This window comes from Homo sapiens, chromosome 16, assembly GCF_000001405.40.
Source record: "Homo sapiens chromosome 16, GRCh38.p14 Primary Assembly".
In the NCBI taxonomy this organism is placed as follows: domain Eukaryota; kingdom Metazoa; phylum Chordata; class Mammalia; order Primates; family Hominidae; genus Homo; species Homo sapiens.
Genome location: NC_000016.10, coordinates 1,716,991 through 1,734,955, shown reverse-complemented (window position 1 = coordinate 1,734,955; position 17,965 = coordinate 1,716,991). Strand labels below are relative to the sequence as shown.

Genomic DNA, 17,965 nt, shown 5'->3' with positions numbered 1-17,965 from the left:
ACACACACTCTGCAGCAGTGGCCCGAGAACACTGCCTGGCGTTTGCACTCACACCGACTGCATTCCAGACACACACTCACTAAGCCACGCCAGGCGTGAAGGAAAATGTCCATCTGGGTCAGGAAGGAGGGCGCCCAGCGCTGAGGATGGACGGCGCCCTCATGGTGAATCAAGGGGTTTTGGCTGAGCAGATGGGACTGACTCAAATATGTGTCCCCCAAGGGACCAAAGGTTGTGGCAGGACAGAATCCACACCAGAGAAGAGAGAGCAGGTGTCCAGCAGGGACGGGCTCCTTCCAGCTCAACTGCCCAGCAACAGCATACATCACCAAGGCCTGTCCCAGCACCCCTGACCCCACAAAGGCAAGCACTCGGGACAGGGGAGGGGGGCCGTGCCTTCCTCCTTTAGCTGGCTCATGCCTTCAGAGGCACAAGGCTGTGGCTGCCATCCACGCCTGCAGGCAGGTGGCAGACAGCACGTGAGCCCCACCCTCTCCTTCCTGGCCAGGGTCTCGGCCTGGGGAGGCAGGGGACACACGAGCCCGGAGGTGGCTCTTAATGCCACCACCGCAACAGCAGGCGTGACCGATTCCGTGCGCTGGTGATGCGGCTCAGTACCACCGCCGGCCAGGGAGGGAGGCAGGGGTAGCCCAGCCATAGCCCTGCCCCTCTGTCGCCCCCATGGAGCATGCTCCCGTCAGGGCCTCGGCATGCTCAGGGAGACAGGGCCGCCAGCCCCAGCGCCTTCTTCCCGCAGGGCCAACGTCTTCTCACGTGCTGTGGAGATCTGGCAAGGAGGCCCAGGGGCCAGAGTAATGTAGCTGCGCAGACCCCACTGCAGGGTGCCTTCTGGCTGGATCCAGTCATGGCAACCAAGGCTTTGGTGTAAACCTGGATGAGACCCCTCCCTCTCCCACAGAGGTGCAGGGGTCCTGTTTCACAAATGGAGGCTTCCTGGGGTCCGTGGCTGGGGAAGGCCCCTACCACACAGCCACTGCTGCTGGCGTTGCTCCCACGGCCGGTGCCAAAGGTCCTGTGTGCCCAGAAGAAGTGAATGGCTGGGGCCAGGTCAGGCAGAAGGACCTGGTTGTGGCAGCGCTGACAAGAGAGCACCCCAGATCCATCCCTTACAAAATGATCGAGGGGCTTCTTCCAGAGGGCACCGTCTGGTTCCCTGAGGGGAGTGCAGCAGCCCTGACATAGCCTTCAGGAGCCGTGGCAGAGCTGCAGAGGGGACCCCAGCAGTGGGGCCCTGACAAGGACGAGGTGCACCACCATGGGGCTTCCCACTGAACTCTCGGCGCCAGGACGAGCCAAGGGACGGGGGCGGCGCCCAGCCCAGACTCAGCTCAGGTCCCTGGGTCCCGCGGGGACACCTCGACAGCAGGTTCCTGGGCCACCTTCTGCCCCACACCATGAGAGAAACATGCAGGACGAAGTACTCCTTGCCCCGCAGCCACGCGCCTCTTCCAGGTAGGCCTGGCCTGGCCCATGACGACGGCAGCATCAGGCGGCTCTGGAGCTGGGGCAGCCTCTGCTCTTGGCTGAGCTCACATGGCCCTGGGGCTCTCAGGACCTCTCGGGTGTTGTCTGTGGGCCTGGGGTGGGGATCACTGCAACTCGGAACCTGGGCTCTCGGCCGGCGTCCTGAGTTCACACGTCACACCTCTGGGATCTGGGATGAGCTGGGCACACTGTTGCTGGGCTCCTCCTGCCCAGGCGCCCTCCGACACAGCCTCAGAGGCACTCCTGTCTGAGGCTGCGCTGGCAAGGAGGCAGCTGAAGGTTCTGGAATGCTGCAGCTCCCAGGGGATGGCCAAACTGCCTGCCTCTGCCCCCAGCTCCCCTGAAAAACAACACAAAGATCCCGGGTCCAGGTTCGATTTTAATTCCAGTTAGCTTGGAATCCTCTTCCAACTGCCGAGAGCCAGAGGTGAGGATGTCCCAGCGTGCATGCCACGAGACGGGAGCTGCGAATGAGAATCTCCCACTGTGGGATCTGATGGAAACACCTGCAAGGCTTTCACAGCTTGCCAAGCTGGCATCCACACGCCCCGGTGTAGTTCTCATGGTGCTCCAGGTGGGCGGATGGCTGGCGCTGCCCATTCTTGGGGCAAGCTGGCATCCACACGCCCTGGCGTAGTTCTCATGGTGCTCCAGGTGGGCGGATGGCTGGCACCACCCGTTCTCGGGGCAAGCTGGCATCCACACGCCCTGGCGTAGTTCTCATGGTGCTCCAGGTGGGCGGATGGCTGGCACCACCTGTTCTCGGGGCAAGCTGGCATCCACACGCCCTGGCGTAGTTCTCATGGTGCTCTGGGTGGGCAGATGGCCGGCGCCGCCCGTTCTCAGGGCAAGTCCCTGAGAACTGCAGGTCCCTGCTCCAGCTGAGAGCAGCGAGACTGCCTGAGGACCTGCTGCTGCAGGCTCCACGGCACGCCCCTGGCCAGCTGGGCCTTTGCGCACACCGTGCATTTGCTCTCACGTCCAGAGACTCGGAAGCAGAGTCTGACAGCTTCTTCTGTATCATCCAGAACGTGACCCATGAAGCCCAGAGCTGGACGTTCTGACCCTTCTCGTTTGCAGGTGTAACCCCCAGAACAGGCAGGCACGATGCAGCTTTCGCAGCTGGCCAGGCCTTGATGGGGTGTGAGGGAGGCTTTTGCCATCGCAGCCCTGGCTGTGGGAGGCTTGGGGGCAGAAACAGGCTTCCCCCCTTCCAGCTGCCCCAGCTCTGTAGGACGGCAGCTTCTGACTTCAGGCCCTTCCTCCCCGCTGCTGGAGACTCAGAACGAGAGCGCCAACCTCCCCAGCCCAGGTCGCGTCTCTGGTCTCCCATGGCCGGTCCCCTGGAGCTGCAATACCCTGGCAAGATCTCTGATGCTCTGCTCCCTGGGGCCTGCAGCCCGGCTTTCTCCTGATTCAAAGGGCACAGAAAACGGAGAGGAACCCATTCTAGGCAGGCTCCCCCGACTCTCTGAGGAAAACCAGCACCGAGCCCTGGAAACCCACCGGTACCCCCACCCTGTGGAAGGAATAAGACTCAGTGCAGGGCTGGCCAAGGCTCCTGGGCTCATCCACACAGTATTTGAGGCAGTATGTTCTAGAAAGTCCCTCAAACACTAAACCATTGCCCCTAGGGGAAAAATATGTACACATGCAGGTACGCGTATAAGATTGTGATCTCAAATCCTCAAAGCCATGCATTCCGGTCAGTTCTACTTCCTTTATTTTACAAAAACGAAAAGGAGGTTGGAAATATAGGGTGGCTGGCCACCCTACTAACAGGAAATCCTCAAAGCAATGCATCCTGGTCAGTTCTATTTCCTTTATTTTAAAGGAAGTTGGAAATATAGGGTGACTAGCCACCCCACTAACAGGTGCCACAGCTGGGCTTGGAGCCCCTGGAACTAACCCTAGAACTGGCCTCATGCGTGACACGTGACACTGCCTGGCCCTCCTGTCTCCTCTCCGGGCATCTGGGTAGGAGGTGAAGAGGAGGGCAGAGCATCGCCTTGTCCCACCTCTGTGGGGAGCCAGCACAGGGACTCCCGTTTCTCCCTAATGTGTGCCTGTCTGCAAAGGACTGTTAAGTGCTCTGAGTACTGATTCCCTTTCTTTCTTTTTTGAGACAGGCTCTCACTCTACCACCCAGGCTGGAGTGCAGTGCGCAATCTTGGCTCGCTGCCACCTCCGCCCCTGGGGTTCAGGTGATTCTCCTGCCTCAGCCTCCAGAGTAGCTGGGACCACAGGCATGCACCATCACACTGGCTAATTTTGTTATTTTTATGATTTATTATTTATTTATGTATTTATTTTTGAGATGGACTCTCTGTCGCCCAGGCTGGAGTGCTGTGGCGTGATCTCAGCTCACTGCAGTCTCCGCCTCCCAAGCTCAAGCAATTCTCCTGCCTCAGCCTCTCTAGTAGCTGGGACTACAGGCATGTGCCACCACACCCAGCTAATTTTTGTATTTTTAGTAGAGACGGGGTTTCACCGTGTTGGCCAGGCTGGTCTCAAACTCCTGACCTCAAGTGATCTGCCGGCCTCAGCCTTCCAAAGTGCCGGGATTACAGGTGTGAGCCACTGTGCCTACCCTTTTTTTTTTTTTTTTTGACAGAGTCTCACTCTGTCGCCCAGGCTGGAGTGCAGTGGTGCGATCTTGGCTCACTGCAACCTCTGCCTCCCGGGTTCAAGTGATTCTCCTGCCTCAGCCTCCAGAATAGCTGGAACTACAGGCGCCCGCCACCACACCCGGCTAATTTTTTATATTTTTAGTAGAGATGGGGTTTCAACATGTTAGCCAGGATGGTCTCGATCTCCTGACCTCATGATCCGCCCTCCTTGCCCTCCCAAAGTGCTGGGATTACAGGAGTGTTTCGTAGAGATGGGGTTTCACCATGTTAGCCAGGATGGTCTTGATCTCCTGATCTCGTGATCTGCCCACCTCGGCCTCCCAAAGTGCTGGAATGACAGGCGTGAGCCACTGAGCCCGGCTTAATTTTTGTATTTTTAATAGAGATGGGGTTTCACCACATTGGCCAAGCTAGTCTCGAGCTCCTGACCTCAAGTGATCCACCCACCTCGGCCTCCCAAAGTGCTGGGATTACAGGCGTGAGCCACCATACCAGCCTCTTTTTTGTTGTTTATTCTTTGACCTCACATGAGCAGATGATTTTCTTTTTTTATTTTTTTAGAGACGGGGCTCACTCTGCTGCCCAGGTGGGAGTGCAGGGGCGCGACTGTAGATCACTGCAGCCTCCAGCCCCTGGGCTCAAGCTATCCTCCTCTCTCAGCCTCCTGAGTAGCTGGGACTACAGGTAGTTATTTGAGGCAGTATGTCCTAGAAGTGCCACCTCATGCTTAGCTAATTTTTAAACAATTTTTTTTTTTTTTTTTTTTTTTTTTTTTGTAGAGACAAGATCTTGCTGGTTGCCCAAGCTGAGCTCGAACTCCTGGGCTCAAGTAATCCTCCTGCCTTGGCCTCCCAAAGTTCTAGGATTACAGGCATAAGTCACTGTGCCCGGCTGAGGTCACAGATATATTTTAGCGAGTAGATACATTTGCAAACACAGAATCTGTGGATAGTAAGGGTTAAATATGCGCAAGCTGCCCGGGGCCTCCCTGACTGAATTGTGGACCGAGCAGAAGGGACACACGGGCTCGACACATGTCCGTCGCCCAGGGCCGCCCCCCCACATCCCTGCTCAGCCACGCTCCAACCAGCTCCCTCCTCCTGGGTCTCCAGAGTGTTCCCTGTCGTCCTGAGCCCAGAGCGCGGGCCATAACAAGCACTACGACCCTGGCATGTGCCGCGTCCTGCGTACCTCCGCCCCGCCGCGCCCCGCGTACCTCCACCCCGCCGCGCCCCGCGTACCTCCGCCCCGGCAGGCTGCTCTCGGTCTGGCTGTTTCCTCCGACCTGCTGCATCTTGGACCTCTCAATGTGCTCCACGTAGGTCTGTATCATCTGCGAGGAGGGAAACGCCTGCATTAGCGCTGCCGTGGGGGGCTGTCTCCGTCCCCTCTAACCTGTGAGGCTTTTCCGGCTGCCCTGTGCAGGCAGAAATCAAGACAGCGTCCTGGAGGGGAATCTAACCAGCCTGGGGCTGACAGCCTTCAAGCCTGGCAGCAAATGCTAGAAAAGGGACATGCCAGGGAAGAAAACCACGGTCCGCAAGAGTCGCAGGCGTCAGGCCGCGGCCCTGTCTCCAACCCTCGTCTCCGCGCTTGCCTCTGGGCGCCCACCTCTGTGTGCCGCTGGTGCAGGGCATTGTACTCCTTCTTCATCTCCGACTCCCGCTCCTCCAACCGGGAAACTGGAAAACACAATCACTGTCTGAGCCGCACAAGACGCTTCTCCATGGCCCTGAACTCTTGGGTTGTAACCACAGAGGGAGGGGGTTCCAGGACAAGGCTGGGACTCTGGGTCCTGAGGCAACCAGCAGCAGCCCGGCAAGTGCAAGGCCGTCTGGGAGACTGCTGTGTGCGTTGTGCGATGGGAGAACACTCAGCTCTGTGAAGGCCGTCTTGGGGGCTGCTGTGCCCTGTACCATGGGAGAACACTCAGCTCTGTGAAGGCCGTCTGGGGGGCTGCTGTGTGTGCTGTGCCATGGGAGAACACTCAGCTCTGTTAAAGCCGTCTGGGGGGCTGCTGTGTGCGCTGTGCCATGGGAGAACACTCAGCTCTGTGAAGGCCGTCTGGGGGGCTGCTGCGTGCGTTGTGCGAGGGGAGAACACTCAGCTCTGTGAAGGCCGTCTGGGGGGCTGCTGTGCCCTGTACCATGGGAGAACACTCAGCTCTGTGAAGGCCGTCTGGGGGGCTGCTGTGTGTGCTGTGCCATGGGAGAACACTCAGCTCTGTGAAGGCCGTCTGGGGGGCTGCTGTGTGTGCCCTGTGCCATGGGAAAACACTCAGCTCTGTTGGGAGTTAAATATGGGGGTGGGGAAACCCACAGGCGCTCTCTGTGCTAAAGTCAGCCACAAGCTTCTGAGATGCAGGCAAAACCCAGGCACGCCAGGCACAGGCAACAGGTGCACAAGAAGCTTGCGGGAGGAGGCGGGATTCAAAGTGAGTAACCTCCTGGACACGTCAAAGGGTCGTGTCTGGCAGAACAAGCAGCGAGGTCCCTCACACACGCCGAGGGCTGGGGAGGCCAATCATGACTATGTGCCTTCTGGGCTGACAGTCATGTCTCCCTTAAACGGGAGGCCCCCCGTGACACCAACACGGGCCTCTCTGGCCCCAGACGTGATCTGCCCAAGAGACACAGAAGCAGCATGACAGGCCGACGGGCAGCCGCAGCCAGGGGACCCCACTCTATGTCCCGCCAATGGTGCATGCGTGCCCCCGGCCTGATGGCCGCCTCCACAGCTGTGTTCAAACCTCAGCTCTGTCCTGCAGCCCACCAATGGGGAGGGCTGACGCCACGAGGTGAGAGACAGCCCCAGGGAGTGCGTGGCCGGGACTCAGCTGGTAAGGTGCTCCACCAGCTTGTGCCCTGTCCTCGGCGTGGTGCCCTCCCATCCTCCCCAGCTTTCTGGTGTCTGTTTAGAAATGACTCCACAGATTATGTGGCTCAACATCTCACTTTGGCCATCCTGCTCTGTGATCTGGGGGGTAACTGGCCTGGCACATCCTTGGAGGCCGCGGCGGCCTACGCTGGGCTCTCGCATCTCTACCAGGCACCCAGGGAAGCTGCACTGCTGGCGCGGGGATCTCACCCCGAGGAGCAGCATAGGCGTCAGCGCCAGCAGTCAGTCTGGTCTTCCCTAAGGAGCCTGAGGTGCTTACAGACATCACACCTGACACGCGTGACTCAGATACAGCACCTCACATGCACGACTTAGACACAGCACCTCACACGCACGACTTAGACACAGCACCTCACACACACGACTTAGACACAGCACCTCACACGCACGACTTAGACACAGCACCAAACATGCATAACTTACAGACGCTGCACCTGACACACGATGTACAGACACCGCACACAACACAAGACTTACAGACATGACACGTGACACATGTGACTCACAGACGCTGCATGCAGCAAATGTGACTAACACACATGGTAAATAACACACGGCTCACAGACGCTGCACACAGCACACGACTCACACAGACGCCGCACACAGCACACGACACTCACACAGACGCTGCACACAGCACACAACTCACAGACGCTACACACAGCAGAGTCACACAGACCCGCACATAGCACACGTCACTCAGACGCCGCACACAGCACACAACTCAGATGCCGCACACAGCACACGACACTCACAGACCCTCCACACAGCACACAACTCAGGTGCCGCACACAGCACATGACACTCACACAGACGCTCCACACGGCACACAACTCAGACGCCACACACAGCACACAACACTCATACACAGCACACAGCACATGACTCACACAGATGCCGCACACAGCACATGACACACAGACGCTGCACACAGCACACAACACACAGACACTGCACACAGCACACGAGTTATAGACACTGCACGCTGCACACATGTAACTGGCTGCTGCAGGAGGGAGCCAACCAGCCATCCCAGGCTTGTGCTGACCCCGGCAACGGCTGTGGCCCCGGGAGAGGCTACCTGTCTGTGTGAGGTCAGAGCCCCACAGCCTCTCTGTGAGCTCCCGCTGGGGCAGAGTATAGCCACCACCTGGAGGGAGCCCGGGGCCTGCTCTCTGCACTCATCTGGCCCCAACTCCTGGTGCTGGCCCAGTGAACAGCCTCAGCCTGTAATTTGATTTTTTTTGAGACAGGGTCTCACTCTGTCACCCAGGCTGGGGTGCAGTGGCGTGATCAAGGCTTACTGCAGCCTCTCCCTCCTGGGTTTGAGCAATCCTCTACCTCAGCCTCCCGAGTAGCTGGGCCCACAAGTCTGTGAGCCACCGTGCCTGGCTAATTTTTGTATTTTTTGTAGAGATGGGGTTTCACCAGGTTGCCCAGGCTGGTCTTGAACTCTTGAGCTCAAGGGATCCTTCCCCCTCAGCCTCCCAAAGTGTGGAAGTTATGGGTGTGAGCCACTGTTCCCAGCCTTGCCTGTAATTTGAGCTTATGTTTTTCTCCTTCTAAGAAGAGAGCTGAGAATGTTTCACACATGAAATGTACTGAAAGCCGAGGGACCAGGAGAGACTCTGTAATTATGGAAAGGCATTACCTAGGTATGCTCAGCACGGGTCTTAGGTTTGCTTTGCATTGTGAATGCCAGTGTGTTTCCATGTGTGTGGAAGCTGCCACCGTGGTCACCCTCTGGCCCCCAGACTCGTCAGCAGGTCATTGTCAGCACAGCAGCCTTTAGGCCTTGGCTGGGGATAGGAGTAAGTCTAACATATCAAAACAGTTTCTTTCCCAAATTTGATCTTAACTTTTTAGAGATAAAGGAACCTGCTGTTGAGGTAGCTAGGGAAACCGCAGCCGATTGGTTTCAATCATTAAAACATCTGGGGCCAGGCGCGGTGGCTCGCGCCTGTAATCCCAGCACTTTGGGAGGATCACGAGGTCAGAAGATCGAGACCATCCTGGCTAACACAGTGAAACCCCATCTCTACTAAAAATACAAAAAATTAGCTGGGTGTGGTGGCGGGCACCTGTAGTCCCAGCTACTTGGGAAGCTGAGGCAGGAGAATCACTTGAACCCGGGAGGCAGAGGTTGCAGTGAGCTGAGATCGCACCATTGCACTCCAGCCTGGGCAAAAACAGCGAAACTCTGTCTCCAAACAAAACAAAACATCTAATTACAGAAAAGGAAAATTACACAGGAAATCATCACTTCTTCTTTTTTAAATTTTTTCTTTTTTTTTTGAGATGGAGTCTCACTCTGTCGCCCAGGCTAGAGTGCAGTGGCACGATCTTGGCTCACTGCAACCTCCGCCTCTTGGGTTCAAGCGATCTTCCTGCCTCAGTTGCCCGAGTAGCTGGGACTACAGGCGCCCGCCACCATGCCCGGGTAATTTTTATATTTTTATAGAGACGGGGTTTCGCCATGTTGGCCAGGCTGGTTTTAAACTCCTAAGCTCAGGTGATCCACCCGCCTTGGCCTCCCAAAGTGCTGGGATTACAGGTGTGAGCCACCATGCCCGGCCTTTTTTTTTTTTTTAAGAGATGAGGTCTCTGTGTGCCCACACGGCAGTATCAACCTCAGCCCAGCTGAGACCACAGGCGCATGCCATCACGCCTGGCCTAAAACATTGACAGTAGAGTTTAAGCAAAGACTTTTAAAGGTAAGTAAACCAACTGTTCTTATAATAATAATAATAATAATAATAATAATAATAATAAACCCTTTCTGCTACTTCGCCTTGCAGGGGACAGACACCCTGATCAGCTGTGCCCCCCACCTAGGCGCTGTCACTTCAATGGGGCTACACCAGCGGGCCCACCCTCCTGCCTGAGAAGGAGCCATCACTCCTCAGCAGTGTGAAGAGGTGGGGACCCCAGGGGCTGCAGGAGCTCTGTTCAAAAGATTCAGGAAGGACCTTCAGGACCACAGACTTGTGATCTGGGGGTCAGAATTCACTCTGAAGCAAAAGTGCTATGGGGCCACAGTGGCCTGATTTACTTATTTCCACACACAATCTGGGGCCCATTACAGAAACAGGCAGCAGTACAAAGAGCTGGAATACATGGCTGAGGCTCCCACTGGGCTTCCTCTCGTCCCCTTGTGTGGAAGGCGCTCCATGCCCACCCCAACCAGAGCCGTCCCAGAGCAGCGCCCATCAAGCGCGCCTCCAGGCTCCCGCCAGCCACTTACTCTGATCGGCATAGTTCTTGGCCTTCAGCTCCAGCTGGCGCGTCTGGAACTCGTAGTGCTCCACCTGGATTTGCAGCTCTTTCTTCTCTTGTTCCAGAGCATCTTCAAACTCAATGAATTTCTGTGCATGGAAGGGAGGGAAAGAGCAGTCATCAGGAGTGAGTGTGGAGCAGCCGCCTTTCACTTGAAGGGCCGCAGGCTTTGAGGGCCCAGGGGCCAAAGATGTCCCCAGGGCCACAAGCTGGCCCATGGCCAGGCCGGAATGGGGGCTTCCCGCCACGTGGCTGTGGCCACCACCCTCCTCAGGCACAGTGAGGAGCCATGAGGGCAGGGCGGGAGAGCCCTCCAGGACTGCATGATTGCACCCTCCTCTCCCGGGAGGATTTGCTGTGAAGGGAGCCTGTTGTTTCCAATTACGGCTGCCTTCGTGGCTGCATGAGACCCGGGCAGCAATGCGGGGCCCTGCACTCAGAAGGCCCAATGCTTGGCTTGGCTGCTGCCATCTTGAAATGTTGCTAATTTTTGAACATAGAGCCCTGTGTTTCCATTTTTACACTGGGATCCATGAGCACACAGCCAGTCCTGTTTGCAATGGAGTCATCTGACTCCCCTCAACTCCACGCCTAAGAACAAGGTTGAGCCTACTTTTCTGCATGTCAGTTGCAGCTCAGCTCAGGACACCATCGTTACTGGGATAACCAGCAACACAGTCTTGCTCCTAGTCATTAAATAAAAAGGCAGGGGGATTGGTCTAGGTTTGGAATCTTAACCTTATGTGGTAAGTTTCAGGACAAAATTATTATCAAACCAAGTGAAAAGAAAACATTTTGCAAAATAAAAGCAGCTCATAAAAGGTCTGAGGAGCCTGGGGGCCAGTGAGGCCCCAGGTGTGGCCGGGCATCGATGCCATAAGTGTAGTTCCTACAGCAGCCCAGAGAGGGAGCTGTTAACACCTCATTTTTACAGAGTAGAAAACTGGGGAATATTATCAAGAAATTTCACTGGAAGAAGTATAAATATCAACTGGCCTTTTGTTTTGTTTTGTTTTGTTTTGTTTTAAGAGAGAGTCTCGCTCTGTCTCTGAGGCTGGACTGCAGTGGTGCGATCACAACTCACTGCAGCCTTGAGCACCTGGGCTCAAATGATCCTCCTGCCTCCACCTCCTGAGCAGCTGGGACTACAGGCATGTGTCACCATGCCTGGCTAATTTTAAAGAAGTTTTTGTAGAGGCCGGGCACAGTGGCTCACGCTGTGAGCCACCAGCCTGAGTGAGTGTTTGAGACCAGCCTGACCAACATGGTAAAACCCTGTTTCTACTAAAAAATACACTGCAACCTCTGCCTCCCGGGTTCAAGCGATTCTCCTGCCTCATCCCAGAACTTTGGGAGGCTGAGGCAGATGGATCATGTGAGCTCAGGAGTTCGAGACCAGCCTGACCAACATGGTGAAACTCTGTTTCTACTAAAAAATACAAAAATTAGCCGGGTGTGGTGGCACACACCTATAATCTCAGCTACTTGGGAGGCTGAGGCGGAGAATCGCTTGAACCTGGGAGGTGGAGATTGCAGTGAGCCCAGATCACCCCACCACTGTACTCCAGCCTGGGAGACAGAGCAAGACTCCATCTCAAAAAACAAAAACAAAAACAAAAACAAAAACAAACAAACAAAAAAAATTGGCCAGGCACGGTGGCTCACGCCTGTAATCTCAGCACTTTGGGAGGCTGAGGCAGGCGGATCACGAGGTCAGGAGATCGAGTCCATCCTGGCTAACACGGCGAAACCCCATCTCTACTAAAAATACAACAAATTAGCCAGGCGTGGTGGCAGGCGCCTGTAGTCCCAGCTACTTGGGAGGCTGAGGCAGAATGGCGTGAACCTGGGAGGCAGAGCTTGTAGTGAGCCAAGATAGCGCCACCGCACTCCAGCCTGGGCGACAGAGCGAGACTCCATCTCAAAAAAAAGATTTTTTTTTTTTTTGAGATGGGGTCTTGCTATGGTTCCCAGGTTGGTCTCAAACTCCTGGGCTCAAGCGATCCTCCCACCTCAGCCTCCCAAAGCGCTGGGATTATAGGCCTGAGCGACTGCACCCAGCCTCAGCTGGGTTCTGAAGACAAAAGAGTTTCTCAGAAGATGGGAATATAAACCGGGTGGTGGATTTCATCTTTTGGGATCTGGAAGATCCATGGGTAGTGGCCACAGCTGTGTTCCCTATAATAACTCTACCCACTCTCCCACCCGGATACTAGGCTCCTCGACGCTTCTTCCTATAGCAGCAGCTTCTAAAAAGGTCTTTGTGTTGAAACCACTGGGGCTCTGCCCAAGAGGTGACTCATTCTGTGCAGTTACTGAGAGGGCAGAAAACCACAGAGGCGGGAGGGGCAGGCAGGGAGCAGGAGGCAGCAGGAAGAGTCTGTGTTATGGGCATCACATGCAACTTAAGGAAAAGGAAGAAAAACAAACACTCCACAGCTGAGAAAATGCATGACTTTTTTGTGCGGCGGTACAAAAAATAAAAATAAGTGATTTTGAATTAACTGTGGCTAACTAGCATATGAAGAACACACACATGCTATTAATCGACTGATAAGAATTTTTAACAAAAAGTTGTCTGGGTGCGGTGGCTCACGCCTGTAATCCCAGCACTCTGGGAGGCCGAGGCGGGGGGGATGACGAGGTCAGGAGATGGAGACCTTCCTGGCTAACATGGTGAAACCCCGTTTCTACTAAAAATAAAAAAAATTAGCTGGGCGTGGTGGCGGGCGCCTGTAGTCCCAGCTACTCGGGAGGGCGAGGCAGGAGAATCACTTGAACCCGGGAGGCGGAGGTTGCAGGGAGCTGAGATCACGCCACTGCACTCCAGCCTGGGCGACAGAGCAAGACTCAGTCTCCAAAAACAAAACAAAACAAAACAAAACGAAAAAACAAAGTTTTTATAGGCCCGGAGCGGTGGCTCATGCCTGTAATCCCAGTACTTTGGGAGGCCGAGGCGAGTGGATTGATTGACTCCAGGAGTTAGATGCAACATGGTGAAATTCCGTCTCTACAAAAAAATTAGCTGGACACGATGGCATGTGCCTGTAGTTCCAGTGAGCTGGGAGGCTGTGGTGGGAGGATCACCTGAGCCCAGGAGGTCGGTGCTGCAGTGACCCCAGGAGGTCGGGGCTGCAGTGAGCCCTGAGGCTGGCACCACTGCACTCCCAGATGACAGTGAGATCCTCTCTCTAAAAAAAAAGGTTTTGTAGAGATAGGATCTCACTATATTGCCCAGGCTGGTCTCAAACTCCTGGGCTCAAGCAATCCTCCTGCCTTGGCCTTCCAAAGTGCTGGGATTACAGGCATGAGCAAAGGATTTTTTTTTTTTTTTTTTTGAGATAGAGTGCAATGGCACGATCTCAGCTCACCGCAACCTCCGCCTCCCGGGTTCAAGTGATTCTCCTGCCTCAGCCTCCCGAGTAGTTGGGATTACAGGCATGCGCCACCACATCCAGCTAATGTATTTTTAGTAGAGATGGTGTTTTCCATGTTGGTCACGCTGGTCTCAAACTCTTGACCTTAGGTGATCCACCCGCCTCGGCCTTCCCAAGTGCTGGGATTACAGGCATGAGCCCCCATGCCCAGCCTTGTTTTGTTTTTTTTTTTTTTGAGACAAAGTTTTGCTCTTGTTGCCTAGGTTGGAGTGCAATGACATGACTCAGCTCACTGCAACCTCCGCCCCCTGGGTGCAAGCAATTCTCCTGCCTCAGCCTCCCAAGTAGCTGGGATTACAGGCACCCACCACCACGCCCAGCTAATTCTTTGTATTTTTAGTAGAAACGGGGTTTCACCGTGTTAGCCAGGATGGTCTTGATCCCCTGACCTCGTGATCCGCCTGCTTCTGCCTCCCAAAGTGCTGGGATTACAGGCGTGAGCCGCTGCACCCGGCCTGGCCTGGATATTTTTTAAAGTAGGTAAGTTTATTTCCTGTTATATAAAAAATGAAAATAATTATATAAACAATGTATGTTTCTGCAGGAAAATCAGTGTTAGGTAAAAACAGAAAAAATTTTAAATTATGAGTCTCGGTCTATAGGGTCGGTTAAAATTGTGTGACGTGCTTCTGGATTTGTATGTGTGTGTGTAGAGCAGATGTACGATCATCTTGTACACAGTGTTTTGTAACCTGATTTATTCACTGATTTATACTGAAATGCCTTTCAACACCAACAGGCGTACTCGACCACTTCCATTTTTGGCAGGTGTGTGTTCTGCTGGGAGTGTGTGTGTAGAGCACAGTTTGCTCAATCCATTATCTCTTTATGGACTTTCAGGTTGCTTTAAAATGTTTGCTACTATAAAAAGCTGGCCGGGCACGGTGGCTCATGCCTGTAATCCCAGCACTTTGGGAGGCCAAGGCGGGTGGATCACCTGAGGTCAGGAGTTCAAGACCAGCCTGGCCAACACGGTGAAACCCCATCTCTACTAAAAACACAAAAAATCAGCTGGGCGTGGTGGCGTGCGCCTGTAATCCCAGCTACTCAGGAGGCTGAGGCAGGAGAATTGCTTGAACCCAGGTTGCAGTGAGCCAAGATTGCGCCATTGCACTCCAGCCTGGGCAACAAGAGCGAGATTCCATCTCAAAAGAAAAACAAACAAACAAAAGCTGTGTGCACACACGTCTTTGTATATTCACCTGCTGGCTTCCTGCTCTCTGAGGCTGCGGTCATGCACTGCTAAGTGACTCTTCAGAGGGTGTCCCAACTTACACTTCCCCCTAAAAAGTGGGACAGTGCCCTTTTGTAGAACTCTCAACATTTCTTTCTTTTATACTTTTTGGTTTGTTTTTGAGGCTTTTTTTCTTTTACTTTTATTTTTCAATTTTTTGGGGACAGGGTCTCCCTCTGTCACCCACTGCAGCCTTGACCTCGCGGGCTCAAGCGATCCTCCCATCTCAGTCTCCTGAGTAGCTGGGCCCACAGGCACGTGCCACCACATTGGGCTAATTTTTGTGGTTTTTTTTTTTTTTTTTTTGTAGAGATGGGGTCTCCCTATGTTACCCAGGCTGATCTCAAACTCCTGGGCTCAAGCGATCCCCCCTCAGCCTCCCAGAGTATTGGGATTACAGGCATGAGCCACTGTGCCTGGCTACATTTTAGTCTGTTTCTGAGCCAGCACCACAGGTTTTTAAACTGGTGTTGTGGTGTTATGGTACTTTCTAGTATCTAATATCTGCTCTCCCTCTTACATCTTCCTTTTCAACATTTTCCTGGTTATTCCTAATTTCTCCTTCTAGATTGATTTGAGAATCATTTTGAATCACCGACATACATATTTATTTTTTGGTTATGCATTTCACCTGTCTGAAAGCACCAGGTCTCTGTCCCTTAGGAAGGGGCCATTTTTTTTTTTTCTTTTTAAAGATTGGGTCTCAGGCTGGGCACAGTGGCTCACAGCTGTAATCCCAGCACTTTGGGTTGCTGAGGCAGGAGTGTCACTTGAGGCCAAGAGTTCGAGCCCAGCCTGGGCAATATAACAAGACCTTACCTCTACAAAAAATAATTAGCTGGGCACAGTGTTGCATGCCCATAGTCCCAGCTACTTGGGAGGCTGAGGCAGGAAGATTGCTTGAGACGGGGTCTTGCTCTGTTATCCAGACTGGAGTACAGCAGCATGACCAAGGCTCACTACAGCCTTGACCTACCTACTGGGCTCAAGCAATCCTCCTGCCACAGCCTCCTGAACCACAGGCACTACAGGCGTGAGCCACCTCGCCCAGCCCCTAATGTTGAGTCGTTTTCAGTGAGAAGATGCTAGGGCTAGACTTGGGGTGAGAGAAAACTCATCTTGAGGAAGTGAAGAGTCCTCTGATGGGGCTTCTGGGGGTGGATGCTGGAACATTCTTTTTTTTTTTTTTGAGATGGTTCTGTTGCCCAGGCTGGTGTGCAGTGGTGCGATCTTGGCTCACTGCAACCTCCATCTCCCAGGTTCAAGCGATTCTCCTGCCTCGGCCTCTGACTAGCTGGGATTACAGGTGCCCACCACCATGCCCGGCTAATTTTTGTATTCTTAGTAGAGACAGGGTTTCACCATGTTGGCCAGGCTGCTCTTGAACTCCTGACCTCAAGGAATCTGCCTGCCTTGGGTTCCCAAAGTGCTGGTATTACAGGCGAGAGCCACCGTACCCGGCCTAGAAAATATTTTTATTTAAAGATCATTAGCCGGGCGCGGTGACTCATGCCTGTAATCCCAGCACTTTAGGAGGCCGAGGTGGGGGGATCACCTGAGGTCAGGAGTTCCAGAGCAGCCTGGCCAACTTGGTGAAACCCCGTCTCTACTAAAAATACAAAATTAGCCAGGCATGGTGATGCATGCCTGTAATCCCAGCTACTCAGGAGGCTGAGGCAGGAGAATCTCTTGAACACGGGAGGCAGAGGTTGCAGTGAGCCGAGGCCATGACATTGCACTCCAGCCCGAGTGACAAGAGTGAAACTCTGCTTCAAAAAAAAAAAAATCATTTACTTCTGATTTAAGAGAACCAAGAATTTTCAGCCGGGCTTGGTGGCTCACACCTGTAATCCCAGCACTTTGGGAGTCCGAGGCGGGCGAACCTTGAGGTCAGGAGATCGAGACCATCCTGGCTAACAAGGTGAAACCCCATCTCTACTAAAAATACAAAAAAGATTAGCCGGGTGTGGTGGCGGGCGCCTGTAGTCCCAGCTACTCAGGAGGCTGAGGCAGGAGAATGGCAGGAACCTGGGAGGCGGAGCTTGCAGTGAGCTGAGATCGTGCCACTGCACTCCAGCCTGGGCGATAGAGCGAGACTCCATCTCAAAAAAAAAAAGAGAACCAAGAATTTTCAGTGGTGGGGACTTGGGGAATAGAGATGAATTTAAGTCTATAAAGCACGATTACAAAATATAAACGGAGCTGAGAAAAATAAAGTTTTAACTATCAGCATTTTTTTTGAATGGGCCTGCATAGTACTAGATTATAAAAAAATAAAAGAACTACCCAGAATACAGCACGGTAGTATCTTGGTCCCAGAGACCTACTGAAGGTGTGACAATAGCAAAGTGAAAGGTTTCTGTACACGTGCTCGTGATCCATGCTGCAGGGCAGCGTGTATTTGACACGACCACCTATCTAACCGAGTCTAGTGAAATGCTGTGTGGCATCTGGACATGAGAGGCCACCTATGGGTCACCTTTGAGCATCCCAAGGAGCAATGACTTGAGATTACAAAATGAAGGAAAACATGGGTGTCGTTCCTCAGTCGAGACACGAAACAACTCTCACATCTAGGTACCAATATGCCACAGGATTCCCTTTTTAGACATGTTTTTAAGATGTACTTCCCCATCCCTCCCACGACCAAAGGGCTCTGCTTGAAAATTAAATTCAACTTATGTTTTCAGAATTTGCTTTTTGGTGAATTTCTTTCTTTCTTTTTTTTTTTTTTTTTTTGAGATGGAGTTTTACTCCGTCACCCAGGCTGGAATGCAGTGGCACGATCTTGGCTCACTGCAACCTCCGCCTCCTGGGTTCAAGTGATTCTCTTGCCTCAGCCTCCCAGTCTCCTGAGTAGCTAGGATTATAGGCACCCACCACCACACCTGGCTAATTTTTATTTTATTTTTTTTTGAGACGGCATCTCGCTCTGTTGCCCAGGCTGGAGTGCAGTAGCACAATCTCAGCTTACTGCAACCTCT

General features: G+C 53.6%; 1 protein-coding gene across 9 annotated transcripts in view, besides 3 other annotated features; it reads right to left on the bottom strand.

Annotated features, from left to right (window-relative positions):
* The window catches only part of MAPK8IP3 (mitogen-activated protein kinase 8 interacting protein 3), a 64,157-nt gene that overhangs the window by 35,396 nt on the left and 10,796 nt on the right, over positions 1-17,965 (bottom strand). For 8 of the 9 annotated variants that reach the window (XM_011522429.3, XM_047433812.1, XM_011522430.3 and 5 more), the window contains exons 2-4: positions 10,279-10,399; positions 5,748-5,818; positions 5,378-5,469 (exon numbers count right to left, since the gene is read on the bottom strand). In XM_011522429.3, the coding sequence (XP_011520731.1) occupies positions 5,378-5,469; positions 5,748-5,818; positions 10,279-10,399 (284 nt within the window). Of the gene's footprint in view, positions 1-5,377; positions 5,470-5,747; positions 5,819-10,278; positions 10,400-17,965 lie in introns of those variants that run through there. The other variant, XM_047433814.1, reaches the window with a different exon arrangement.
* Positions 11,407-11,456: an enhancer, noted in NCBI's record as "active region_10234". NCBI's record gives its function as "activates an Ori minimal core promoter by ATAC-STARR-seq in GM12878 lymphoblastoid cells {active_cell/tissue: GM12878}" and the evidence as "EXISTENCE:reporter gene assay evidence [ECO:0000049][PMID:35858748]".
* Positions 14,711-14,830: an enhancer, noted in NCBI's record as "active region_10233". NCBI's record gives its function as "activates an Ori minimal core promoter by ATAC-STARR-seq in GM12878 lymphoblastoid cells {active_cell/tissue: GM12878}" and the evidence as "EXISTENCE:reporter gene assay evidence [ECO:0000049][PMID:35858748]".
* Positions 16,071-16,240: an enhancer, noted in NCBI's record as "active region_10232". NCBI's record gives its function as "activates an Ori minimal core promoter by ATAC-STARR-seq in GM12878 lymphoblastoid cells {active_cell/tissue: GM12878}" and the evidence as "EXISTENCE:reporter gene assay evidence [ECO:0000049][PMID:35858748]".